The sequence below is a fragment of the Homo sapiens genome, chromosome 5, assembly GCF_000001405.40.
Source record: "Homo sapiens chromosome 5, GRCh38.p14 Primary Assembly".
In the NCBI taxonomy this organism is placed as follows: Eukaryota; Metazoa; Chordata; class Mammalia; order Primates; family Hominidae; genus Homo; species Homo sapiens.
In genome coordinates this window covers 158,804,218-158,830,655 of record NC_000005.10, presented here as the reverse complement: position 1 = coordinate 158,830,655, position 26,438 = coordinate 158,804,218, and the positions used below count along the sequence as shown (strand labels likewise).

General features: G+C 39.9%; 1 protein-coding gene across 28 annotated transcripts in view; it reads left to right on the top strand.

Annotated features, from left to right (window-relative positions):
- Positions 1 to 26,438, top strand: part of EBF1 (EBF transcription factor 1) — a 403,997-nt gene that overhangs the window by 269,261 nt on the left and 108,298 nt on the right. For 19 of the 28 annotated variants that reach the window (NM_024007.5, NM_001324103.2, NM_001324109.2 and 16 more), the window contains one exon: positions 7,339 to 7,480. In NM_024007.5, coding sequence (NP_076870.1) covers positions 7,339 to 7,480 — 142 coding nt within the window. The remainder of the gene's footprint in view (positions 1 to 7,338; positions 7,481 to 26,438) is intronic. The other 9 variants (NM_182708.3, NM_001324108.2, NM_001324106.2 and 6 more) reach the window with 1 other exon arrangement.

The following is a 26,438-nucleotide window of genomic DNA, read 5'->3' as shown; positions in this document are numbered from 1 at the left end:
CACACAGGCACCATAGATTTGTACTGGAAGTATTAGGAGAGTCCAGAGAGAGGATGTAAGCCAGGACTGTGTACTGAAAGGCCAGAGGCCAACTGTGTTGGCTTACACCTGTAATCCCAGCACTTTTGGGAGGCCGAGATGGACGGATCACGAGCTCAAGAGATCGAGACCATCCTAGCCAACATGGTGAAACACCGTCTCTACTAAAAATATAAAAATTAGCTGGGTGTGGTGGTGTGCCCCTCTAGTCCCAGCTAGTCAGGAGGCTGAGGCAGGAGAATTACTTGAATCTGGGTGGCAGAGGTTGCTGTGAGCCGAGATTACGCCCTGCAGTCCGGCCTGGTGACAGAGCAAGACTCCATCTCAAAAAAAAAATGAAAGGCCAGAACTGAGGGTGGGTGAGAACTGCACTGTGAGTCTACAGGTTTCCCTTCAGGCTTGCCTCTGCTCTTAATTTGTCCTATGATCTTGAAGTTGTTTTTTTAAACTCCTGGGCCTTAGTTTTCCAAGCTGTAAAAGGAGGTGTTGGACAAATCTGGACTGCCATAACTTATATTGAGGACTCCTTTTATCATTTTCTCCTATGAACCTCCTATGATGACATATTTTTCAATCAAATTGCATTTATTAAGAATCACGTTCTCTTTAGAGTTCTTTAAAGCCATGTAAAACTGCTAGTTGAGAGCTTCTCATGTAGATGAGATAACCAGAGTTTCCACATGGAGTTGATAGGGTCCCAGACAAGGGAAAGTTAACTGAATATTTCAGTATGCAGCCTTACTGTGGATGCTTTTATGATTCCCTCTGTGCAATAATGTCACCCATTATTACAGTCAAAAACTCTTAGTTAGGAGCCACTAGATTAGCTGATCTCTGGAGTCTCTTGTGACTCTAACATTTGACGAGTCTGCAAAGTAGTTCAGCTGACAGGTAGAATGTAGAATGTAGACTATAGGGGGTTGAGGGTAGAAGTGTGATCAATACCTTTTAAAAAATATAGAGAGTTTATTTTGTAGAGCAGTTTTAGGTTTACAGAAATATAATACCTTCTCAACCCCATCCCCATCCCCTAACCCCCAGTTTCCCCTATTATTAACATCTTGCATTAGTGTGATACATGTTACAATTGATGTGCCAATATTAATATGTTATTAAAATCCATAGTTTTGTGGGCCGGGTGTGGTGGCTCATGACTATAATCCCAGCACTTTGGGAGACTGACATGGGTAGATCACATGAGCCCAGGAGTTTGAGACCAGTCTGGGCAACATGGTGAAACCCTGTTTTCACAAAAAAAATACAAAAAAAAAAAAAAGGCTGAGTGTGGTGGTGCATGCCTCTAGTTCCAGCTACTCAGGAGCTGAGGTGGGAGGACCAGTTGAGCCCGGGACGCAGAGGTTGCAGTAAGCTGAGATCACACCACTGCCCTCCAGTCTGGGTGACAGAGCAGGACCCTGTCTCAAAAATCAACATCAATTTAAAGTTTACACTAGAGTTCACTGTTTGTGTGTACATTCTATAGGTTTAGACAAAAGCATGGACATATACATCATTACAGTATTATACAGAATGGTTTCACTGCTCTAAAAATCCCCTATCCTTCACCCATTCCTCCCTCTCTTCTCCCAGACTCCTGGCAACCACTGATCTTTTCACTGTCTTCATAGTTTTGCCTTTTCCAGAATATCGTATAGTTGGAATCATACAGTATATAGACTCTTGAGATTCACTTTTTCTTATTTAGTAATATGCATTTAAGACCCCTCTATGACTGTCTGTGGCTTGATAGCTCATTTTCTTAAATTGCAAAATGATATTCTATTATATGGATTACCAGTTTGTTTTTCCATTCATCCATTGAAGGACATCTTGGTTGCCAATGCCTTTTATTTAGTTGAGATTTTTATTCACATAATTTTAGGTTTACATGCAGTTATAGAAGTAATACAGAATGATCCCATGTACCCATTACCCAGTCTTCCTCAGTAACATTTTGCAAAGTTATTTTACAATATGACAACCAGAATATGGACATTCATGTAATCTACCATCTTATTCAGGTTTCCCTTGTTTTACTAGTACTTGTTTGTGTGGGTGTATTTTTAGTTCTATAAAATTGTATCATGTGTCTAGCTTTGTCTAACACCACAGTCCTTATATAGGGAATTTTCATCACCACAAGGATCCCTCATCTTGTCCTTTTTTAGTAATCATACTCACCTTCTCTGTGTGTCCAAATTTCCTCCTGTGAGGATTGGATTAGAGACCTCTCTAATGGCCTCATTTTAAAGTAATCAAAGCCCTATCTGAAAATACAGTCACATTCTAAGGTACTGGAGATCAGGCCTTCAATGCATGAATTTCTGGGGGAGGAACAATTCAGCCCTTAACATGCAGTATGTATCCCCTGGTTACTGGCTTTTTACCCTCAACATAATTCCCTGGGATATCAATAGTTTGTTCCTTTTTATTGCTGAGTATTATTCCATGAAATGCTGCCCAGTGCTTTTCATTTAGTGTACTTCAAGTTAATATTTTTAAAGCTTTGTGATTAGGGGCCCTAAATTAATGCAAAAGTACAACAAGCAAAAAACAGAGAGGTTAGGAAGCATAGAACAGACTAACTTTAACACTGATTTCCTTTTACTGAGTTACCATGTATCAGCACTGAAAACCAAGATTTGGAATTTTTAAATAATCATTCAAAATTAACGTGAGGAAGAGTTTATTTTTTGGAAGGAAATACTTAACTGTCACAATATTCTAAATTTAAATTACAAAAATATATTTATGGTCTAATCTTTGCTCTGATTCTGTGTTTGTTGGAGAAATGCTTAAAGATACAAATTTCAACATGTTGGGTTGCTTTTGTCATAACCCCTTCTTCCCCACAAACTGCTACTTTTGTTAATGTGATCTTCCACTCATGATTGAATTTAGCTGCTTGTGTCTTTTTGAAAATCTGCTCATGAGACAGAGGTTATGCTTCATGAATCTTAGATAATAGAGTTAGGACATACAAGGTCTCCTGCCTGACATGAAGGGAAGAGGGGCTGCCTGAGAAGTGATGGTGAGGAAGTACTCACCAATAACAAAACTCCTGAGAAATCCTCATTGATGGGAAATATTGGGAAAACTAGACTGAACTGATGAGACATCTCATTTACAGACTATTTTCAGAATAGTAAGGTTTCATTTAGTTATAATAAAGCCTCAAATGTAAGAGGCTAAGATACAGATAGGGTCTAGAAAGCGACATTATATAAACCAATGAAAACCGCAATTCATGCAAGGCCTAAATGTGTAATAATGTGTTACTAGCACAAAGGTCTTTAAAATTGTACGTTTGTGTTGAGCAGTGGACATAGAAGAAACACTTTCTGTATCCTTTTATTTAAAATTACAGTGTATGCTGGGTCTTCTTTACGGTCATTAAGATACTTCAGGTTATCAACCCGACACATTCTTTTGAACTTCTTGTTTAACATCACCCACAAATTGACAACTACTACTCTATTACTGCTACTAATGTTTATTGAGTGCTCCATGTGAACCAGGAACCATGCTGGCCACTTTAATTAATTTAAGCCTCACAGTTACCTTATGAGTTAAGTATGGTGGTTATTCCCATTGAGAGTCAGGGACACTGGGACTCAGAGAAGTTAACCTGGCCAAAGTCACATCAACCAGGAAAGCTTGAGAGCCAAGGATGAAATTTTGTGTCTAGTTCTTTCAAATTCTAAATAGAGGGGGATTGGAATAATACCTTTTAGGGATATCTATCCAGAAAAGGATATAACAGAGGAGATTCTGAACCACTGATATGAGCCAAGAAATTGAAAACATCAGTGTAAAATATCCAAAGTCCATGGGTAGCTAGAAACTTCTTTTTTGCCCTTCTCGTTCTCTTATAACGAATACTCTCAACTAGAAAGGAAGGCCCAGATGAAAAGTACCCTGGAACATGCTGAGTGTTAATCAGCATATCTCTAGATTGCCACATTAAGAAGCAAAGCCCCCTAATAGAAATTTCATTCCAAAAATATAGTGATTAAAGCATATATGTATAAATCTAAACCTGTTTACATAGGCTGATATTTATTTCAGGAGATATAACTTGGACATCTTCAAGAATCAAGTGCACAATTTATTTCAAAACCATTCTAGAGCAGTGCCATCCTATAGAACATTCTGCAATGATAAAAAAATTCCCTGTTCACCGTGTCCAATGCAGTAGGCAATAGTCGCCTATGGCTATGAAACGCTCAGTGTGGCTATTGAGGCTCAGAAAGGGAATCTAAAATGTCGTTTAGTTTAAATTTAAATAGCCAGGCATTTGGCTTCTGTATTGGACAGTGCAGTTCTAGAAAGTAAAGGTGTAATTATAACAGATATCGTGAAATTCTAAACATATCTTTTCCTTCGTATTCTCATCATCTGTTTCTCTGGGCAGGGGAGTGGAAAAGGGGAGAAAGAAGGAAAGTGTTGTTGTGTCCAAAGGTAAAATCATTTTTAATGTTTATCTGTCTCAAATTTAGGCTGTGTTTTATTGACAAAATTTAGGAAGGTTGAAGATTTGGCAGGCTTGTCTGTCCCCTTGCCTGTGTGAATGTGTCAGCACCTTATTAATTATGTGGTAAACTGTAAAGGCCCTTTTCCCTCCTACCATGGGCCTATTTTTAAAGGACACTTCAGTACCCCTTTTGCATCTCACAGTGTTTTTTTTTTTTTAATTTACAAGTCGCTCTGTGGATTAATTTTAGCATATGTTTTATTTAAATATATCCTGAATATTTCCAAATTGAAATGGGAGAAATTGTTTTGTGGTAGGGAAGTTGTGCTGTGAGTTTTTGAGGAACGTATTAGCTGCTTATTTTCTAGAAATTAAAAGTATAAAGATTCTCTGTATTATCTTTTTTCCAATTTTGATTGGCATTTCAGCCAAATGATTCTATCACACATGTGGCCCTGGTGGTTCTTCTCTTGCCAAGAAAAGAAAAACATATGGGGTGTAGTTTTTTTTTCCTTAACCGTTTTTGACATTTTTGTTCAATGTAGGATTAGATGACAGTGTCTTTGAAACATACTGAATATTTTAAGCCTTAAGTTTGTAGAGCTTGTGTCTTACAGGTGCATGGTGAATTGTCATTGTTTTTTTTTTTTCCTCCTAAGACAGACATCTAGAATAACCACTTTCTGTATTTCCTGACACTGAAAACAGATATGGTTTGGGATTCCTTTTATAGTTTCTTCAGCTAACGACTCCAGTGACCGCTCAATTGTGGTCTCATAGTAAATCAAAATTTCTTTGAAAGACCCAGCTCTGTTATGTAATTGTAAGTCCTAAGAAGTCGTCTCTCTAAAAAGAAAAGTGAATTTCTGTTGCCTTAAATAATATTGACTTTGCCACTGCATATGATAGTTTTTGAAGGCAAAATAGTAGACCGTTTTCTTCTCTTCTTCTTTCTTTTAAATTAACCTGTAAACATACAAGCTGTGTTTACACATAAGGCTGTGTCAGATCTGGTTGGTCAATCATGAATAAAGAGAAGAACCACTCTGCAAACTTCTGCATCAAACTTACATGTCATCCCCCAAATGATTTGTTCTAGATGGAATTTGGGGTTTCACAGTGGCTAAGGAGAATACTCTGATTCCCTGATTGAACTCTCAACTGTTTCCTATGCATTTTAATTAAGTAGATTTAGAAAACAAAATCAACCTTATGCTACTAGTATGGGTGATGTGTTCATAGCCTGCAATTCGTGGGCATCTTTGAGGCTCTGGGAAAGGAAATTCATCGTATTTTGCCAGGATGCACTTAGGTCAACGAGGAGGACAGTGGAACTTTTAAGTATGGGAAGACTGTGGGGACTGGCGTCCAAGCTGACAATTCACAGGCATAGGCCAGGGCCTGGCGTTTTCCCCTCTGCCCAGCTTAGCTGATGAAAGAGTGTTACACAAGACTCTTCAGAAGTCGATGCCCCCTTCAGCCAACTTGGAGAAAAGGCTTCCTCAGAAACTGAGGCCTCCATCTGTGCCAACCCTTGTAAAGCGGTTCACCTCTTCAGAGGCTAATGCCTCTCAAAACCAAGAACAATTAAAGCGAGAGTCTTTCCAAGCAACTGGGGAATTGAGCAAAATAAATCAGAAATCCTCAGCCTTCGCTCTGGAGGCTCGCCTCATTATGAGAGCAGATCTATTAGCCCTCTTGCCATTGTCTTTCATTTCTCAAGTGAGGTGATTCTAATTAAATTAATCTGCATGTCAATCTATCGGTGATCAATCAAAGAGCCTGAGGTTTCCCCTATGCTGCAGGGTGCTTGCGGCTGACAGGGGCTGATAATGGAGGAAGAAATAAACTGTCGAGCAAAGTTAATTAGTCAACATAATAGGTGGATTAAACGGGAGCGGGCTGATTGCTGTTTCCCATGTCAAAGCATGAGGTGGGAGCTGAAGCTGCAATTACAGACAATTATTATATTTGGTTGTAAGAGGTCGCATGAATAAACATATCTCTGTGGGTTTCAGTTTTAATCCCTTTCCCCATTTAATATAAGGAGAAGCGTAGGTCATTTCTTCTCATTGTTTTAGTCAAAGTTCTCTGAGACAACATCTTTGCCTGTGTCTCTTCTGGCAAACTGGGTTCACAGTCACTTTATGAGATGGTTTCAGTGTCTAAATTATGTCTTGGGCCATTCCCACCAGTTTTTTTTTTAATTTGAAACAGATCTAAGACCCTTAATTAGCAGGAATTTTTTGGGGTGGGGTGATGGTAATAGTAGTGAGGGGGACTTTGGTCTGATGAACCAAACTAATGTGGAAAGAAAAACGTACAAGAAATCTCAAAAAGACATCCAGGAGAGAAAAATGCATCCCTGCTCTTACTGAAATCTTTTTCATTTCTCTATCCTCTTAACCCTGACACAGTGGGGAGAAATATTTTAAAGATTCAAAAGATTTTTATTTGCATGATCAACTGTGATATATGCTTCAGTGTCTAAACTGAAGGGTAATTTAGGTGAAACACAACCACCCTTGTGTAAAAAAATATGCTAATAAAGATCCTCTTGTTAAAATTATGGTTAACAGTGTACCTTCTGCTGTATAACTATAAACTGTGCAATTTTACTTAAAACTGCATCAAAAGCGTTCCATGCCAAAGACCCACTCATCAATAGCTCCTCTTGTTAGACTTGTACAGCATAAGCACCAGTTATTATGTGAAATAGCTATGCAATTTTCTTCAGCTCCCAGCTGTTATTTATTTAACTTGAGTTTATTACCCACCACGCTTTTATATTAAAATGTTCATTCATTTCTTTCTTATGTCTCCAGGTCGTGGTGTCTACGACAGTCAATGTGGATGGCCATGTCCTGGCAGTCTCTGATAACATGTTTGTCCATAATAATTCCAAGCATGGGCGGAGGGCTCGGAGGCTTGACCCCTCGGAAGGTACGCCCTCTTATCTGGAACATGGTAGGCGAATCATTTTCATTGGTTGGCATTGCTACTTTAACTGTGAATATATTTGGTTTCTTTCTTCCACTCCACCACATGTTCTATTCTGTTTCAAATTTCAAAAGTCTTTTTGAATAAGATTGGTCCTCTAGGGTTTTTTCTCTTCAACATATGGTGGCAAATATTTAAAGACAGGAAAATATCTCTGAGGCCCACCTTTCTTGTGGGACCACTCTCTACTCTGGAAATGGCTGATATTGCCTCCTTTCAGGTTGAGAGAAAGAAGGAGGCCTGGACCATTGCTTTATTCTAAGCTCCCACTGGATTACAAAATAAGGAAAGGCCAATCCAAGGGAAAAATAAGGAAAGGCCACACAATTTGGTATCACTAAAATTGTGATATATTTGACATGTTTATAATTGACCATTGAGGTTTTATAATGAACCCATCCTCTTTACCACCCTCCTGGTGTATCTCTGTGACCACCTGTTGAACTTCATTTGGAGATCAGGTTCAATGTCGAGGTTGGAGGTGCTTTCTGAATATGAAGCCCAGACCAAATGTCCCTCCTGTGCCCTGTACCTAACTCTTACCTCTTCACCATGTGATAGAACTTGCTGTCTGTAAGTAGACTTTGGTAGGGAGAAATCCCATTTGTCTTGAGAATTATGGCTAATCAGTGGTGCCTTTGAGAGGACTGAAGGAAACCAGATAAAAATTTGAATCAAGGAAAGTGAATGCCACTCAGAAGAACCATGGGTTGGGTTAGGGGCACGCCTGAATTTTTCAGTGCTGCATGTGTGTGTGTAATATATCCACTCTTCCTCCTCTCCACTCATCCATCCATCCGTTCATCTATCTATCCATCTATCCATCTATCCATCCATCCATCCATCCATCCATCCATCCATCCATCCATCCATCCGTCCATCCGTCCATCCAAGAATGAGTGACTGAGGCTCTGCTGGATACCAGTCACCATATTAGACTTTCTTCAATTGCCTCAAACTCTCAACCCATTTCCCTCACTTCCCTTTCCAGTTTGCTAGGGTCAGCAAGATTCTTTTCAGAACACTACCACACAAATGATCACCTGATTGCCTGCTTTTTTCCATGGGCCAGGAGTTGCCCATAATTTACAAGGTAGAAAACTCCCTTCTCTGCCAGCATCCCAATTTAATAAACACGCCACTCTCATCATTTTTGCCTGGCTTTTTCCCCTGTGCTTATGGAACACACGAACTGTACTTTTTATTAATTAGCCAGATGTAATGCTCTTAGAAGGGATTCTTCACCACATCCAGTTTTACAGTCTTTTTAAAGTAAACCATCATCTTTCAAAAGCTGCTTCTTTATGGTTTCATTAGTGCTGAGATGGATGGATATTACATTTTGCAGGAGGCCATTTCAAACACCTGCTCATGATTACATTCCTAGTTCCATTTCTGTACTTAAAATTATTCTGATCCTCACTTTACAGTAATGTTGTCTTTATAATACCCTTGGAGTCACTTAAGGCATTGTGTGACTAGAGGTGTTTAGGTGAAAGGAGGAAGAAAAAATTAGGGAAATACTCAGTGGGCATGATTTGGAGAGTGCTGCTTAAGGATTGAAGTTATGTTTTTGACTGTGGGTGGTTAGTTGCAATAGGTACTGCCCAGTCTGGTGACAGACTTGACTGTCAGTTTGAAATCTGGGTTCACACTTTCAAAATATGCTCAGGCCACACCCAGCTCCTATTTCTGCTCTTGGGAAGCCAGTGAGAAAGCTCCTGACACCAGGCAAATTATCCCTCCAACAAAAACCAAAAGCAAACATAGAATATAGCCTTCTCTAAAGGATCCCTCTAGGCAATGAGGATCAGTAACGTTATTTTGCAGCATGATAAAGGACTAGGTCTTGAAATAGGTACCAGGAACCCCAAATTCAATTTAGTTTCACTCTGGCCTCTATTTGACCTTGGACAAATCGCTTTAGCTTTTGGGATCCTTGATTTCCTCCTTGTTAAAATGAAGGTGATGATCTGTAGGAGAGTTTAAAAAAAAATCTGTGCTTTGGGTGGGGGCAGGTAATGTAGATAGGGAAGTGGGCTGGGTGGAGGCTGAGAAGACAGGCAAGTACACGCTCTGGTGCCCCTCGGCCCCAGCCAGTTGTTGCTAAGGGGAATGAGAGCCCAAGTGGGGCCAGATGTTCCAGTTTGGCAACAGTGAATTTTTAATTGTTGGTAACTAATTACAAAATTTTTGGACACTGAAGGGAGGAGAGGGGGAAAAAAGCCACTTAGGAAGAATGCAGCCACAGGTCAACAGTTTGAGACCTCTGGATCAACACAGCTCTAAGCTTCCTCCCAGCTCAGATATTCCCTCTTCTAAGAGTGTTAATATTTCAGTTGGGGTGTCATATTATTCTAAGTTTTAAAGTCAGCATTTTATTCACCTGCTTCAGTTTATGAGTCCACAGATGGCCATATTACTATATTTTTCAAAAAATGGTGACATTTCACTGTGTAAGTGGTTGGCCATCCTTGGGGACATAGGTATGTCCTATTTCCTTCAGCAAGGGGCTTTGCCTTCACCGAAGCCTTATTTCACTTCTCTCCAGTGGAAAGAAAGGGTAGACATGTTCAAATTCTTAGTAATGACAATAGCATAGAAATCTGCTTCTCTGCAGAGTGAGTCAACCAACCACACAAAACCACCCACTCATTTAGACACTTCAGGCTGACACATAAATATCTACTCAGCAAAGGATGACTATTGAACTCTTTCATTGGTAATGTGTGGGAGTGGACCTAGATGCTAATTCATGTTGATGTGAGGGTAATACTTTATTTTGCTGTTGAAAAGTCCTATTTCAAAATGCTCTGTTTAAAAGACTTTGAGAATCATACACCCTCATCCCTCTGTGTCTCCGCTCCCACCCCCCACCGCCTTCAAACAGCTACCGCATGGTGAGACGGCAAAGCATGTTCTCCTCTTGTGACCTGTGGGAACCTACGTTCTCCCCCATTCTGGACTTTTTACCATCTAATTTACAGGTAGCCTGAATTATTTTGGGCTATTCTGCAAATCTCTATTTATATCCTGCTTGTCAGACTGTTGGAGGAAGTTTCCTTTTGTGGCTCACCTTTCTGTGTATAAGTAGAGACAGAGATCGTGCTTTACATTCATGCATGGGCTTTCTTATGTGACCCATGGACTCGCAAACCCCTGTGCTCTGATAAATGACCCTGTAATTCAAGTATGAGAGTTGACAAAGGCAAATTTATTTCATAGACTCTTGCATGGTCCAAAGATAGTGAATCCTGGCATGCTATAGATCGTGGAAAATGGTCTTCCCCCGTACTTTCTCTTCATTCATAAATACCAAGATTTTCTTTGGCTGGATATTTATGGGACCATTTAGCCTAGTGAGGTTTCTTCTTTAAGCAATAGCTTTATGGAAGATGTACAGTCGTGGAGACAGGCAGCCTCAAAATGTAACTGCTCTCTCAGTTCCAATTTTTGAAAAAGCATGAGCTCGGGATGAAAGGAGCTGAGTGGCTGCCACAAGGCTATGTTCAGCGCTACCCTGTGTACTTGCCTTGTCTTCCAGTCATTTGGGCAAGTTCATGAAGACTGTGTTCTGGGGAGTCATTGAGGGGCCTGAGGAGTGTTGCTATTGGCATTGTTGTTCCCCTGAGTTCCAGGTTGTGTTTACTTGAATTCAAGGCCAACTGTGGCATCAGTTTCTCTGTTTCTTCCCCCTGTGGCAAAATGCGGTGCCCTCACAACACTGTGGTGCAGAGCCCCTGTCAGCTTGCATGCGCTAACACTTTATTATCTAATGATCTAATATGCAACAAGGCAAAGTGCCCGTGCTCATCATTCTGACATAGAATGCCGGGAGAAGTGACTAAATTACTTTATGTACCATTAGCGCTTGCAGCTATGGTGAACTCACAGGCAGCATTTATGCAAATGCCTGTGAATACACTCTAGTGGCTTTGTCAGGAAACCATCTGACAAGCAGTTTAAATGCTCATTTTTTTAAAGGGGATATATGTATTTTTTTATTTTGGTGTGCATGTGTTTTTCTCCTTTCCTCTCTTCTTTTTCTTTCCCTTCTCCCCTTTTTGGGCTTTTGGAGGACTTGCCTCCTCCATGGTGACTAGAGAAATGTGAGCACGTTCTAGAGCTCACCCACCAGTAGGAGCCATTTCCAGGAGTGGGATTAAGTCCCCAGTAGGGTATTCTTTAGATCTAGTTTTTTTTTTTTTTGTTATTGTTTTGAATATGTGCATCCTTCATATTTATTTGGAAAAAAAAACAATGGAACTATTAGTCAAGAGTTTTTAGAATATAAACATGTTAGTGTTCATGAGCTCTGACCTGGGGTCCTACTTATTTTTTTAGATTGAAGATAGATTCTTTAAAACATACTCAGTTTTTAAAAATGGAAAATGATTGAAATTTAGCTTTTGTGGGCATCAGATACAAATCAATTAAATTTCCCTTCAAAGTTATAATAAAGACTGCAACATAAAACATAAATGTGCCAAGATTTCAAGATAAATAAAAACAATAGTGGAGTTTGGTCACACTCAAAGTATTTTGAAGAATAAATACTGATGATAGACTCACTGGGCCCATCTCCTGGCTGTAATTATAGCTTTGGAGAAATAGAGTCAGGTGTTCACCACCACCAGTGAATTCTGACCTTTTGGTTGCAGTGTCACATTACAACTGTCCCTGACAATATGGTGGTGTTCTTGATCTTTAGCATATGACCTTCTATAATCCTTTTGATCCAGACAGAGGCAGTTTTTGCTTCTGTCAGTTGCCCCTGGGTGTCCAGCACCATTGACTTCCTGTGACCAGCTGCATTTAAATGTGTTTTTCATTTGTTTGGTTTTTTTGTTTGTTTGTTTTCATGTTTTTACGGAAATGTGGAGAAAGATGGTTTGAGCTTGGAGAGACTACCTCAAATTGAGCCTGTCTCTTTTCCCTTCTGTATAATATGGTCCTAACAAGAGGATAGAAGGAGGATCAGGCTCTCTGGCTGAAGTGGCCCTGGGAAGGTCACTTTGCTTCTGTGGGCCTCAGTTTTGTATGTCCAGTGAGAGCCAGGTGGGGTCCTCTCTAGGCTTCCTTTTAGCATGTACTATTTTATGGTGCTCTGAACTAAAGCTATTGGCACATGACTTTCTGCAGGAGGTGACTTTGGAGAAATAGAGCTTCCTGGGAACAGAGAAATCCACTGGCATTTTCTAATAGAACCCTTCCTCTGGATCTCCAGCCAAGGGATAAGGTGTCAATAAGGTGGACTTGAAATCGCTCATTCATACTAAGCAGGCACTACATGCCAGACATTAAGCTAGGTGCAGTAGGATAATGCAGACTCAGTCCTTGTCTTCACAGAATATATGATGTGAATAGAGAGGAGAGGTACTAAGCAAAATTAGAGTGGTGCATCAAAGGGGGACCACAAAAGCAGAGGAGAGTAATGAAGTGTCAGGGAAGCCTTGTTTCAGGAAATCTCATTTATGCCAAAACCGAAGAGATGAGTAGGTTTTTACTAGGTGTCTTAGTCTGTTTTCTGTTGCTTTAACAGACTGGGTAATTTTTGAGGAAAAGGAGTTTATGTCTTACGGTTCTGGAGGCTGGGAAGTCCAAGGGCATGATGCCAGCACTGGTGAGGGCTTCCAGGCTGCATCATCCTATTGTGGAAAGGTGAAAAGGCAAGCAAGTGTGGGTGAAGAGAGCTCACTTTTATAACTAACCCACTCCCACAATAATGGAATTAGTTTGTTCAGGAAGGTAGAGCCCCCATGACCTAATCACTTCTTAAAGGTCCTACCTCGTAATACTGTTGAAACTGCAATTACATTTCAACATGAATTTTAGTAGGGACATTGAACCATTCATCTATTCAAACCATAGCACTAGGCAAAGGGGACAAAAAAAAAAATTGCCAGGTATAGGAAACTGTGTGCAAGGGTTGTTTTGCTTAGGTGAATTCCAGGAACAAAAGGAGACTGAGAGGGCTCCTGTTGCGCCCAGGCAAGGGAGGAGTGGCAGGAGATGAGACTAGGGTGGCTGTGAGGGCTACATCATGCAGGCCAAAGTGGGCTGGTCAGGCCATGGTCTTGGTGGCAATTGCGAAGTGGGGAGGAGGTCAAGCAGGGCTTTGATGAACTCAGTTTCAATTACATGGGCTCCTCAGATCCGGTGAAAGCCCAGGGCAAGTTTGCTCAGACCTACTTATAACTTTGCTCTTCGCTGCTGGACTTTGGAAACTCACCAGGGAGTTGGCTGTGCTTTGGAGCTGTCCCCCTAATTACTCCTTATTGTATCAATAGGGCATGTGTTCTTCATAGAAAGTCAAACATTTTAAGAGTCCTTTCTCCTCTTTTTTTTTCAGATGGCTTCGTATTATTGATTTAGTTTTTCGTAAGTGGCTTAGAAAGAGTGTACCTTTTGGCATCTTTTTAAATTTGTGGAGACCCTCACCTTTTCATGGTCTTTAGAGTAGAGGACTGCTGCATTATTTGACCCATTAAAATGTATATTACCCCACCAAAACTTAGTGAGTGAAAATAAACTAAAACAACAGAGAAAAATATACCCTCCCAAATTTCTCTCTCCCCTCCCACCAGGGGCAATGCCTGAGCCACAGCTCACACTGAGTGAAGTCAGTGAAGGATGGAAGGTCATTTCTTTCACTCTTCCTCATTTTACAGAGACCCAGAGAGGGGATATAATCTGCTCAAGCTTAAACATAGCTTGTTTCTCTCAAAATCCATTCAGCACTCTTTGTACTTGTCCATGTGCATTTCAGGGTTTGCATAGTTTCCTGGTCACTGGATAAACATGCCAGAGGATTTGGGGTCCACCCCAATGCCTATCCATTTCATATTGGCCTAGCCTTGCCTCCAGTCTTTCTGGGATTCCCAGGATGCTGAGAAGAATGTCTGTAAAATAAATCCAGCTTCCTGACAGAAATGTACATTCAAGGGCAGATGATGGATGATGCATAGCTTCCCACATAGCCAACAGCCCTTCTGTGGCTAGTTTTGATGCAGAATCCCAGCCAAGCCCACTAAGGCAAGATCATCTTGGTGAAGGGCCCAGGCTAAGTAGAAAAATATTGGTGTCATCTTTTGTGACTGAGGGTGGCATGTTACAATTTACCAATTGATTTCCCTATTTGAGAAAAGAAGACAGGTGTAAGAGCAAAACATTAGGGCTAAGAATATCCAGCTGTGTCATAAAATAGAGCACTGAGACCCCAGATTTTCAGGTATCAAATCAGGGCTTTTACTTTGTGCAGTTGAGAAGATGCCTTTTGTCTTTCCTTGAAATAGAAAGGATGTGGTAAGTGGTCAAGATAATGCACAACGATGTGAGTGAAGACTGATTTCCAGTGTATTCCCTGAGTAATTCATAAAGCAGGTAACACCGGAAATCCTAACACTGGGGATATGGTAGCCAGCAGGATCTCAGCATCAGACAGACTGAAGGGTTCATGAGCAGGTGATCTATGTTCTGCTCATTTGACCATGGCACCACCAATAGCACTGATAACAAATGAGAAATAGTGCTCAGACTTTTTTGCCATACTTGACAGTAACCAGGCCAGGTAATAATATTTATTACTCTATTATTATTTACTACCACTATTGTTGTTTTTTTAAACTATTAGCATTTATGGATCATTTACTATATATGCCAGCACCATGCTAACTATTTTACTTATCATCTCATCAAGTCTTCCAACAAATCTCATGATATATAATAATTATTATCACCATTTTACAGATGAGAAAACTGAGGTTTAGAAAGAATCAATAACTTACTCAAAGCTGCAGAACTAATTAGAATTGGACCTGGAATTTGACCTTAGGTCTGCCTAATAACAGTGCTAAGAATAATAACAATAAACATTCCCTGAGCCCTACTATGACAGGCACAGAGTGCTATAAGTACCCTGTTGTAAAGAGGAGAAAACCAAGGCTAAAGAGAGGGTCAATAACTAGCCTAAAGTCACACAGCAATTAAGTAGTAGACCCAGGGTTCAAATCCAGGAAGCTTGATGCTGAAGTCTGCACTCTAATCTACTGCTCTGTTACATTACAGTATGAGAAATTCCTTCCATCTCCTATCCTATTGTTCTTATTTTTTTCTTAACACAAGCAAGGCAATTGTGCTGGTATCTTCAACAGACTTTTCAAAAGTTAGCCCAGAGCATATCTTTTTAAAAAATGGGGCACATCATGTATATTTACTTTATAGTTGATTTTCCTTCAGAAACCTGAAGGAAATTTTTCCCATGGCTGGGACACATTCTGCTAGTTGAATTTTAAAAAATGCTGATTTTATTCGATGACTAGTATATTTTCTGTGGGGCTGGCAAGATAATAAGGATGCTGGTAATATTTTATTTATTTGCAAGAATGTCCTAACTCATCTCCCTAGAAATCATTTGTTGACCATATGGGCTCTCTGGCACGTGTACAAGGTGTGGAGGAAGGAGTCCATGAGAAAATGATGAGATGATGAGTTAAACAACCGTTAGGATACTGAAGAGTTTGTAAACCTCATGCTAGAAATAACATGGGAAACCGATTTGGATATAGGGAGGCTAGTTTCTTATATGAATTTCTTGACAAACCTGTAAACTGTGGGAAATTTCCAGTATTTGGTTGGTTGAGCTAATAAATGAGTGAGTCACACCTTACTAATTTTAATAAGCACAAAGTGTGGTGTGTTGTGTGTTGTAGGGGAGATTTGGGGAGGAAAGATTGTTGCTTTCTACTTATATTTTGGCCAGAAATGACAGGACTTTATGTAAAAACTTTTTTTTTAATGAGACAGGGCCTTGCTCTGTTGCCCAGGCTATGAAGTGCAGTGGTGCAATCATAGCTCACTTTAGCCTCAAACTCCTGCACTCAAGCTATCCTCTCACCTCAGCTTCCCAAGTAGCTGGGACTACAGGTGCACTCCATCACATCAGGCTAATTATTTTGATTTTGTAGAGACAGGGTTCCTATGTTGCTCAGGCTGGTCTTCAATGCCCGGGCTTAAGCAATTACATCCCCTTGGTCTCCCAAAGTGCTGGCATTACAGGTATGAGCCAGCCTGGTCAGAACTTTTTTAAGCCTAATTTTTTTTGTCTTATATTTGGTTACAAAAGCATCATAATTCCAATTGCATTGATTTGCCTAATTGATTGTTTCAAACCAAGCTGTCTCTATACTTATCTGTCACAGGAGCTCCCCTCACTTGAGAATTTCAGAGGCTTCAAATGATGTTTATGGGCAAGTGGAAGCTTTGATGTGCTGTTCATAAACCCTTCTTAAGATGAGATATTTAGAAGCAGTGGCCAGGGGTTGATTTTGAAATATTTTTGTTTGACCATTTTCAGTTATATGTGCAGAAATAAATTAAAACCAAGCTCTGCCACTACCTTACTACATGACTTTGAGTATGTACTTTGATTTCTCTGGGCCTCTGTTTCCTCATCAATTAAGGTGGGTCTTGGAAGAGCCCTTCAAGCTCTGATGATTTGTTTTTTGAACCCAGCTAATTCTGTGAGAGGTTCTTTTATGTCTTGAGGGGCTACACACCTGCAGCCTTGGAAAAGTGGCTACCAAAATGCCCAGGTGAAAGGATCCAATTTCCCTCCACCTTGGCCATCTCTGCAGGAGGTTAACAGTTGGTTCTAGGAGGCCTGGAAAAGCCATAGAAATGTGGCATACATAGCCATTGTGCCTTAGGTAGCTCTCACCCTGCATTCTTCTCCCTGGATTTCTTCAGCTGGGAAGGTGTTGTGTACAAGCGGCTTGATAGTTTGCAGTGAGCTTTCAGACCACTATTTCCCATGCAGTAGGTGAGATAATTTTAGAAAATGGAGGATAAACATTTAAACATTTTTAATGGTTGTGTGTTTATGTTAATGCGTAAACAAAACAATAACTCCAACTTCAAAATCATGATCTCACAGCTATTATTGCTTAGGGCAAGACTAAAGTTAAAGAAAAAGTTGATCTAAACAAACATAGCAGCTAAATACTATTAAGTAAATAATAGTGTAAGTGGTACAGGGATAGAGGAAAATCAGGACTGAAGTTTGGGAAATGCTGTTAGAGAGGGCTGTAAGGGTTGGGGGAAGTAATAATTCTTTCAAGTCACCAGGAAACAGTGTAGGACCCTGGGAAACATTCTTTTTTTGAGTCAAATCATTTTTAAAAGAAAGTCCTTTAGGCTCAGTTTACTGTTAGAATAGACTTAAATATCCTAACAGGATTTTAAAAAATAAAACTCCCAAGCTGCTGTTTTTTTATTTTTAAACAAGTAGGGTCTGCATGTCAGAGAGCAGAAATTAGTTTGGAAAGAGGACTTGCATCAGGAGAGAAAATCAGCCAGGGTCCACCCAGGCAGCGCATTATGATAATACATACGGAACCAGCTGGACACTGAGCAAGGCTGACATTGTGTTGTCAAGGGCAGGATCGCCCATCAATTTCTGAGATAGAATTTGAGTTCAGATGACAGAAAGAGCAGCAACTGTGTTGAAACTGATGCATGGGGGAGGGGCAGGCAGGCAGGAACCACCGGGTCTAAAGGCAGGAAGTCCTGGTACCTCCGGAAGGGGGTGGCTCTGTTTTCTCATCTGGCTGCTACCCTTCCTTCTAACCTTAACATCTGTCAGCAAGATCCACCTGGGTCCTTGCATGATTAGAGCCCACTAAAGGGGGAGCTTACTGGTGCTAATTTTAACCCCCAAGAGAATAGAGTGCCTGCTGCTGAAATGGGGGCTAGGTCGACCCAGGAAATGGGACTCCACGTAGCCACCAGTTGTCAACCTAAGAAGCCCATTGTGGGTGTAGTGGCAATTGTTAATAACTTTTGGAAGAATTCTTAACTTTTCAGCTACTCTGTTTAGTTCCTTAACATCTTAATAACACCAGTGATTCCTCTTTAGTTCATTTGCTTATTCATTCAATCATTCATCTATTTAACACTAACACATGTTTATTGACTGACTGCCAATTATATCAGACAATAGGGCTACAGAGGTGATAAGGCAGGGACAGTTGTTAGCATTATGACGTAGACTGTCACATGAGTGTAAGTATTTATGTGCCGATATTAGACAAATAATGGCACACGGAATGATTTAAACTGCAATGATGGTTAAGTGCTATAAGGTACAAATACAGACTCCTAAGAGAGCTTAGAACTGGGGGACTCAGCCAAGTCTGAAGAATCAGGGAAACTTTTAAAATTTTCAATGAGAATGAACAGGAGAGGGGAACACATATTCAAAATTCCACGTGGGGATAAAACATTAGAAGCTGTAGGGAGGGCAAATAGGGAAGGTAGGTTAGGTCTGAGATCCATTTTTGAGAAACTAAACTTGGAAAATTTCCATAGGTTGTTTACTCTTTGACTTTGAGATGTGGTTCCATTGCAGTTTCTTAATCATGAGCTAACAGAACTCAGTGTCCATAAAATGGTAGCATTTAGAGCAGTGTTTTGGGTGATCATGGCCTTACTGTTACGATAGCGGTTGTTAAGTACTTTCTCTGCATCAAGTTCAGTGCTGAGCACTTTGTATGATCTCTTTTAATGCTCTTAACAGCCATGGGAGGGCACTAGTATTATTAGTTTTACTAAACACATTTGGGAAACTGAGGCCATCCTTTAAGGATTTGGTCGTGGCCAAAGTTAGGTTTTTATCTGCAGCTTTTGAATCTCCAAGTAGTTGACACAGGGGTCCTCACCACTGTTTTTTCTTATTGTTTAGTCAGTGCTAACCTCCCCTCCACATTGGACTTCAGACGTGGAGAGAAATTCTCCTGCTATTTGAGCATGTAATATAATACTTGCTTCAATTGAAACAAATTGACGACATTACTCAAAGGCAAATTGAAAAGCCAGATCTATGCTAAATCCCAAGGGTAAGTTAGTTGGCATGTGCAGTGATATATGGGAAGGTGCTTTTCTGGGTTAAGATAAAAAGTCCTGGTATCACGTCACACTATCAGGCACCCCATCTCAAACTCCCTGTGCCAGCCCTGCAACTTGAAATACTCAGTGGACAGAAATGATACTTTATAGAAATTAGGTGGTCATCATTGTTATCAGATGAATATGATGCCATCAGCATGATTTTAGCATCCTCAAAAAAAAGAGATTTACCTGGAGGGACACAAGAGAAAATCTGAAGCATGGATTGCAGGATTGTGGCTTTTCTGCCGGCCTGCCGTGGGCAAGTCGGCTGGGAGATGACCTAGTAATTAAAATCCTGCTTAAACGTATGCTGCTGGTCAGTTATAACAGAAGCACTAACATGGGCAACCAGAGAAAGATAAGAAAAGCGAAACACAAAAGTAACACTCTTGAGCCCACAGGGTGCAGAAATAGATCTGAATGGACTGAGTGCATATCTGAACGCTAAGCATGAAAGCAGAACCCAAGTACTAATATATTTTTATCCCAATCTGTGAAATTAATCAATATTTTATATGCGAACATATGCTCCTGTGTTGCTGGCTTATTTAATTGACAGTTGCAATCAGCAGGATACCAGTTGTTCAAACCCACATTTTTCATCCACAGTTCTGGGGAGAAATGCAGCAGGGGACCCAGGGAACAGGGACACAGACAGTGTCAGATTTGAGGCCTCTTCTCAACCCTTCAGTTTCTTTCATCGTCCTTGGGGCAAAGTAATAAAAATTTCAAGATAGTGCAAATGTTGAATATGAACAGAGAGCAATGTACTTGGGCTACTATTTAGAAGAATGATAATTAAAATGAACGTAGTTGGTACAAATTGAGATCTTTAATTCTTCATTGTTTTTTATCTGTTTCTCTTTTGAACATAGCTGGAGAAGCCAACAGATACTGAGCACCTACTATGTGCTGGGCCTGAGGCAAATGCTGTTGGGTGTATTATCCGTGGGCTGGTGGGTGAGGGGGATATATCCCAGCCAGTTCCAATGTATTGGATCATTTCTTGATAGAGGAAGAAAATATATCTTTGGTCTTTCTTTGCCAAAATCTTCTGGCGGAATCATCAAACCAGCTGTGCTTTTCCAGTAACTATTATGTGCAACAAATCTATAAAGTCAAACCTCATATTCCTCTACCTTTCAACTTTGGCAGAATCCTAGAAACTCTCCTTGATTTGGTTAGCTAAAGGCCTGTGGAATCCAATCTTTGCTGTTTAAAAGAAAAAGAGAGTTGGGGGAAAGTGTTATTAAGGTACTATTTTAGAATAGTCTATTTGTTAGTAAATTGTTATTATTTTCATGATACGTGCAACATTCTATAGTGAAGACCATTGGAATGGACAATGTCCAGATTAAAAATGAAAGTTAAAAGGAACTGCCTGATACTTTAAAAATGTTTCTCATAGTGTTGCTATCGTTTGTGTTAGATGTTCAGACTCAGTGTGTGTTTAGCAGCCCAACATGTAACAACAGAAAAGCTTCTAAGCCTGGAAGTTTGGCAGTATTTTCAATGTTCCTGTATTTAAATTGGCACCTGTGCTATTATATTAGGATGCCATTTTCTGAACTTGGAAATAGAAGAAGGTGGAGAGAGATTTTACTGTAATTCATATGTGGGTCTGAGTCTTAGGGGGAAAATAACTTTACTTGGAAATAGAGTAGTAATATTCTGTAAAGTTAATAAATATCCACCCTCTATCTTGGGGATAAGAAATTGCACAACTTAAGATTTTATGGGACTTTGGCTGTATTTGTATGATTGAAGTGAATATTTTAGCCAAACTGAACAGAAATTTCAGATAAACACCAAAGTTGAAGCGTAGTTTGGGTGTTTTAAACATTTGACTATATCAATCAACATGGATTCTCAAAGTCTCAAGTCCAGTTGAATCCCTGAGATTCAGCTATGTCATTTGTAAAGTGGAATGAGGAACATGGTCTGTTTGCCTACTGCTCAAGGTTGATATAAAGAATAATTAAGATAATGTATGGTAAAACCCTTTAAAAACTTAACAATGCTAGTTAATTGTCAGGTATGGGTTGAGTGCAGAGTACTGTCTACCCAGTTTGTAAATGAATGAGGTCCCTGTCTGCAAGGGATGCGTTGACTAGTTGGGGTGATTTGCCTATGTATATACATGCCCAGCTATAAACACATGCATATATCAAGATGAGTTCAAGGAAAAGTGCAGTAAATAATAAATGGGAAAGATAGGAAGAGTTCACTAAAGGGTTAGTGTTTTGTAGACTGGGATAGAAAGAGACACCTTCATGCAAAAGATGGATCTTTTTGGCAAGTAACTGTTTGGGTGATGGAAGTAAGTGGTATATCTTTCATAAAAAAATATGCTGGGAACATGCAAAGGATGTTTGGAGACAGTGGATTTGGGAAGCTGGTCATTACCATCTTTCTTTTCTTCTTCCCTATTTTCCTTCTCCTTCTCCTACAGCAACTTCTCTTCTTCCTCCTCCTCTTCGTCATCATCTCACAATTTTTGCCCACTCTGTACTGAACTCTTCACATAGATTAACTCATTCAAACCTTACAACAATCCTATGAGGTGGGCTGTCTTATAATTATTGTCCTCAATTAAAGTGGTAGAAACTGAGGATTTCAAAAAGTGAAGTAATTTGCCCAAGCTGGTAAATGGTGAAGCTGAAATGTGGGCTAGCTGAGGCCCCCTGAATCCAGAGCTGGTGCTCTTAACTGCTGCTGAGGCTGAAAATGAGGCTAGAAAGGGAGAATGGGCCAGACTCATGAGGGTGGACTTGATCCCGCTGGCTAAGTTTTGAAAGCTGGTATTTGAGGAAGGTTAATCTGGGTTTTGATAGGTAGACTGGACTTTGCATATAACTAATAATTATGTAGTAGAAATGAATCACAAACAGGCAAGTGCGAGTATTTGCTCTTTGATGTCCAGACAGAACAGCCCAGACCCCAAAGAGTAATTTTTGAGGAAGTTGAGTCAGTACATCATAGAGTTGAGATGAAAGTGGACTTCCCATTCTTTGCATGGCTTATGTGGGCAAAGTCAATGATACATATTCCTGTGCTTATGACATCACAGATCATCACCACGGAAACATCTGTGCTGTAACAAACGCTGGATTGCAGTGTCACTAAATGTGTCAGGGAGGAGAGGAAACTGGCTCAAAATGATAAGGCTCTGAATAATGAAAGTTCACTGAAATATGTTAGCAATGGCAGCCTCGGTTGTGGAGAGAAATATAAGCAGAACTATTCCGAAAAGCACAAAGCAGGACTTGTGCATTATTAAAGGTTGGGCAAGGTTGGTTTCAAAATGCTGCTCACATTCAAAACATGGTTTTCTTAAAAAGTCACTATCTATGCTGTCTTGCATGACAATAAAAATCCTTCAGGAACAGGAGCTCATCTCTCAAACTGCGTATAGAAAATCTTCTGCATAGCAAAGAAAGGCCAACTGGGGGACTTCCGTGTGTTTTGGGAGAAGACGTAAAGATCAGGAGCAGAATTGGCCATGATTATGTTTATTGTTTGGTAAGTCAGTGACAGTATTAGTTCAATGATTGCAGAAATTAATAATCAGTAAAAGATGACTCTGAGCCCTCTGAGGATTTATATAAGTTGCACAGTGGTAGATCATGAACTGAATCCAGCCTTCAGCCATATTTATGTTTGGGTTGCATGGCACCTTCAGAAATTATGTATTAGTTGCTGGCAATTGAAGATAGAGAGATTATATGAAAACCTGGATTTACTAATGTCTTTTATAATCAGAAGAGCTGGTAGTGCTGGATCCACATTCTCAAATGGCAACGGGTAGGGAAAACTCAGAAATCATCTTCCTTTTGGATGAAGCACATACTCTACATTTAGCCACAATCCCCACCAATCCCATTGCATCTCCTCATCCCATTTCATTGACTTACCTTCCTGCCTAGCCCTGTGAGCATTTGATTTTGTGCTCCTCATTGGAGGGATTGGAGATTAATCGTTGTTCCTAGCACAGTTCCTAGTCTATGGAGGGCACCCCCTATATTGTAGCTCTGATTAGTCTTTATCAGTTATAGGCTGAGTTATGAAAACTTGATCCTGAGATCAGCGGTATCCAATTGAACTTCCTGTGATGATGGAAGTGTCCTATCTCTGTGCTGTCCAATATGATAGCTACTAGCCACTATAACTATTGACTACTTGAAATGTGGCTGGTATGACTGAGGAAATAATTTGTATTTCATATTAATTAATTGAAAATTAAATGTAAATAGCTGCGTGTAGCTAGTGGCTACTGTAATGGGCAAAGCAAAAGCAGATTGAGTAATGGGATCAAACATCCAGTCAGCTGTCCTCATTTAGGATAGAATGTGGAAGATAGACAGTAGGGTTGTGTGTGTGAACTTGCCCATCTTACAAGAGATGACTTATAATAGGCTTCATCACCTAGGGGCATCTACTTCCAAAGTGGGAACCACTACCTGGCTAGAATTGTTGTCAATTTCAGGAGCCTAAGACATGTGTTTTACAAAATGTTTATGTGCACATTCATAGCAATAAGTGTAAGTCATCTTAAGCTTAAATAGGAAGTCTGACTGTTCTCTGTCCCCTAAATGTTCAGTTAAGGGTACTACTTAAGTATAATAACTGTACTTGTGAGTGGAAAAGCCTACATTATTTGATGAGCTGCTTGACTCCCACATTCACGACAGCATAGAGCCAAGAGCCAGGGTGAGTGAGGGTACTGTGAGAAGGAAGCCTGTGGAATCCTGCTAGACTGCTGGAGGGATCCTCTCTTCTTAGGGCCAAGGGCACACAGGCTGCCATCTCTTGAGATTTCCATCGTGAACACACTGAGCACATCTAATGATCATGTTGCTATAAACCAGCTCACAAGTAGGATTCTAAAAGATCCCTCTCTCATGCAACTTTTTCTTTCGTTCGCACCTTGTTTGCCTGGGAAACTTGTCACTGGCCCTCTCCACCGTGCCTGGTAGTCAGAGCCCTCCATTTGTCTTTGTCATAGAGTTGAAACCCAGAGCCATCTACCAAGCTCTGGCTTAATGGCAACCCACTGGCCTTTTTCCTGAAACCTGCCTGCCATAAGCCAACTTTTCCAGTTGATCAATAAATGACTTCACTGCTTCTAGGGATATATACATGGAGGACAAAACAGATGTCTGCTTTTTTCACTCCAGTTTAAGCTCAAATTATAGCTTCTGCTCCCACACCCATACCCCTGCCCCAGCAAAAAAAAACATGCCTCCTTAAAACATAGAAATCTTAATGAAAATGATAGAAACAGTGTTGTAGCTAATTTTGTTAAGTGATGACTATTACCGATCCTCTTGTAATAGAAAAAAAAAGAAGAAAACACATGTGACTATCTTCTGCTTGGATCATTCATCCAATTGGAATTATACATCATCTAATCTTACAGTCAAATTCTGCTAAGAGGATACCATATCTTTTTTATCTTTGTGGGCAAACATCAACGTAAACTCCTATTACAATAGTGAATTGAATGATTCCTAGAATTCAATAGGAAGAGAAAGACAAAACCCTCTAACAAAAAAGTAGATTCTACATGTTTTAAAATTTCTTCTTAGCAAAATTCATAGCAAAAACATTTCCTAGAAAAAGACCAAGGTAATATGAACTGAGAGTAACTAATGAAATGCTAAATTATCTGCACGCATCTATGTTTTTATTGCTGAATTTGGTCCTGCCTCCAGACATAAGGAGGCTAAAAATTCATATTCAGATAAGGAAAGGCAAACCTTGGCGAACAGATGGAGCAGAGTTCAGCATAAAGGTTTAATCCTATCAGGCCGATTCCTGTATGGCCATCTGGATAATCCGGCACACACATTCAAGGCCTGTTAAAAATACGACTCCAGCCAAGATTAGCGTCACAGATTTTCCACTAGACTTGCTCATATTTGGCTTTATGATTTTCCAGGCCCAGGAAGACTGCTTGTGAATAAAGACTTAAATAGTCCTTGAAGAAGCAGTTGCATATTTTTTTAACCTGAAAATTGTTTCCCCTTTTCACAATATTGGGTGTCCATTTTTGGAAGGTTATTTTCATTTCCTTTTTTCCCCTTGGCTTTCATTTCCCAAACTTTTCTTACAACAGGACAATAAGGAGAATTGGACTAAAAATAATTTTGTGCATAAAAGTTCTCCTTGTCAGGATGAAGAGAGTTATTTACTTATTGTATAATCAGAGGCACGTGAATGTACTATTGTTGCAACAAATATCACAATTGGATCCATGAATAATTCATTTTGAAAATTCTCTTACCCTCCATGACAATTTTTCCCCATTGCTTTGCAATGGAGTGACTGACAGTCATAGAATAAGAGGTGGGAAAGAAACCCAAAGAACTGATGACAATATTTGCCTTTGGCTGCTCTAGGATTAATATTTTGTACATTTTAATTTTGGATTTGGCAGATCAAACATGAGGTGGAAAACAGTGTAGTCACACCTTGAGTTATAAAATTCTGAGCTGCAGTGTAGTTAACAAACAATTTTTGCATATTATGAAACAATGCTATGTTGTGTGTCATTAAATCAAAAAGCCTTCAACAAGTCTTTCAAGTGCAATTTAGAAGTTACAGGTACATCAAAATGTCAAGATTTCTTACTGCTAAATTGTCAAATAACCCCGTGTAATGAACCTGCACACAGTTCCAGATCTCCGACAGACAAACTCAGGAATCCAAAAGCGCTTGCCCTGGAATGTTTTGGATTACAGTTGTTGCACCAGCATTTTTGTCCTTCCCTTGCTCAGGTGCTATGTCCATTGATTGTTGAAAAATTTTGCTAATTCAGAATAAAATAAGAAAGCTGCAAAATAGGAAGAGAATATAATTTGGGCTTAGTCTATAATTAGCAAATGGCATAAATTGGAACTTAGACACTATTTTGCTAAGTTTAGGTACATCTAGATATTCACCACTAAGCTAACACTGCCTTAATGTAGATGGACAT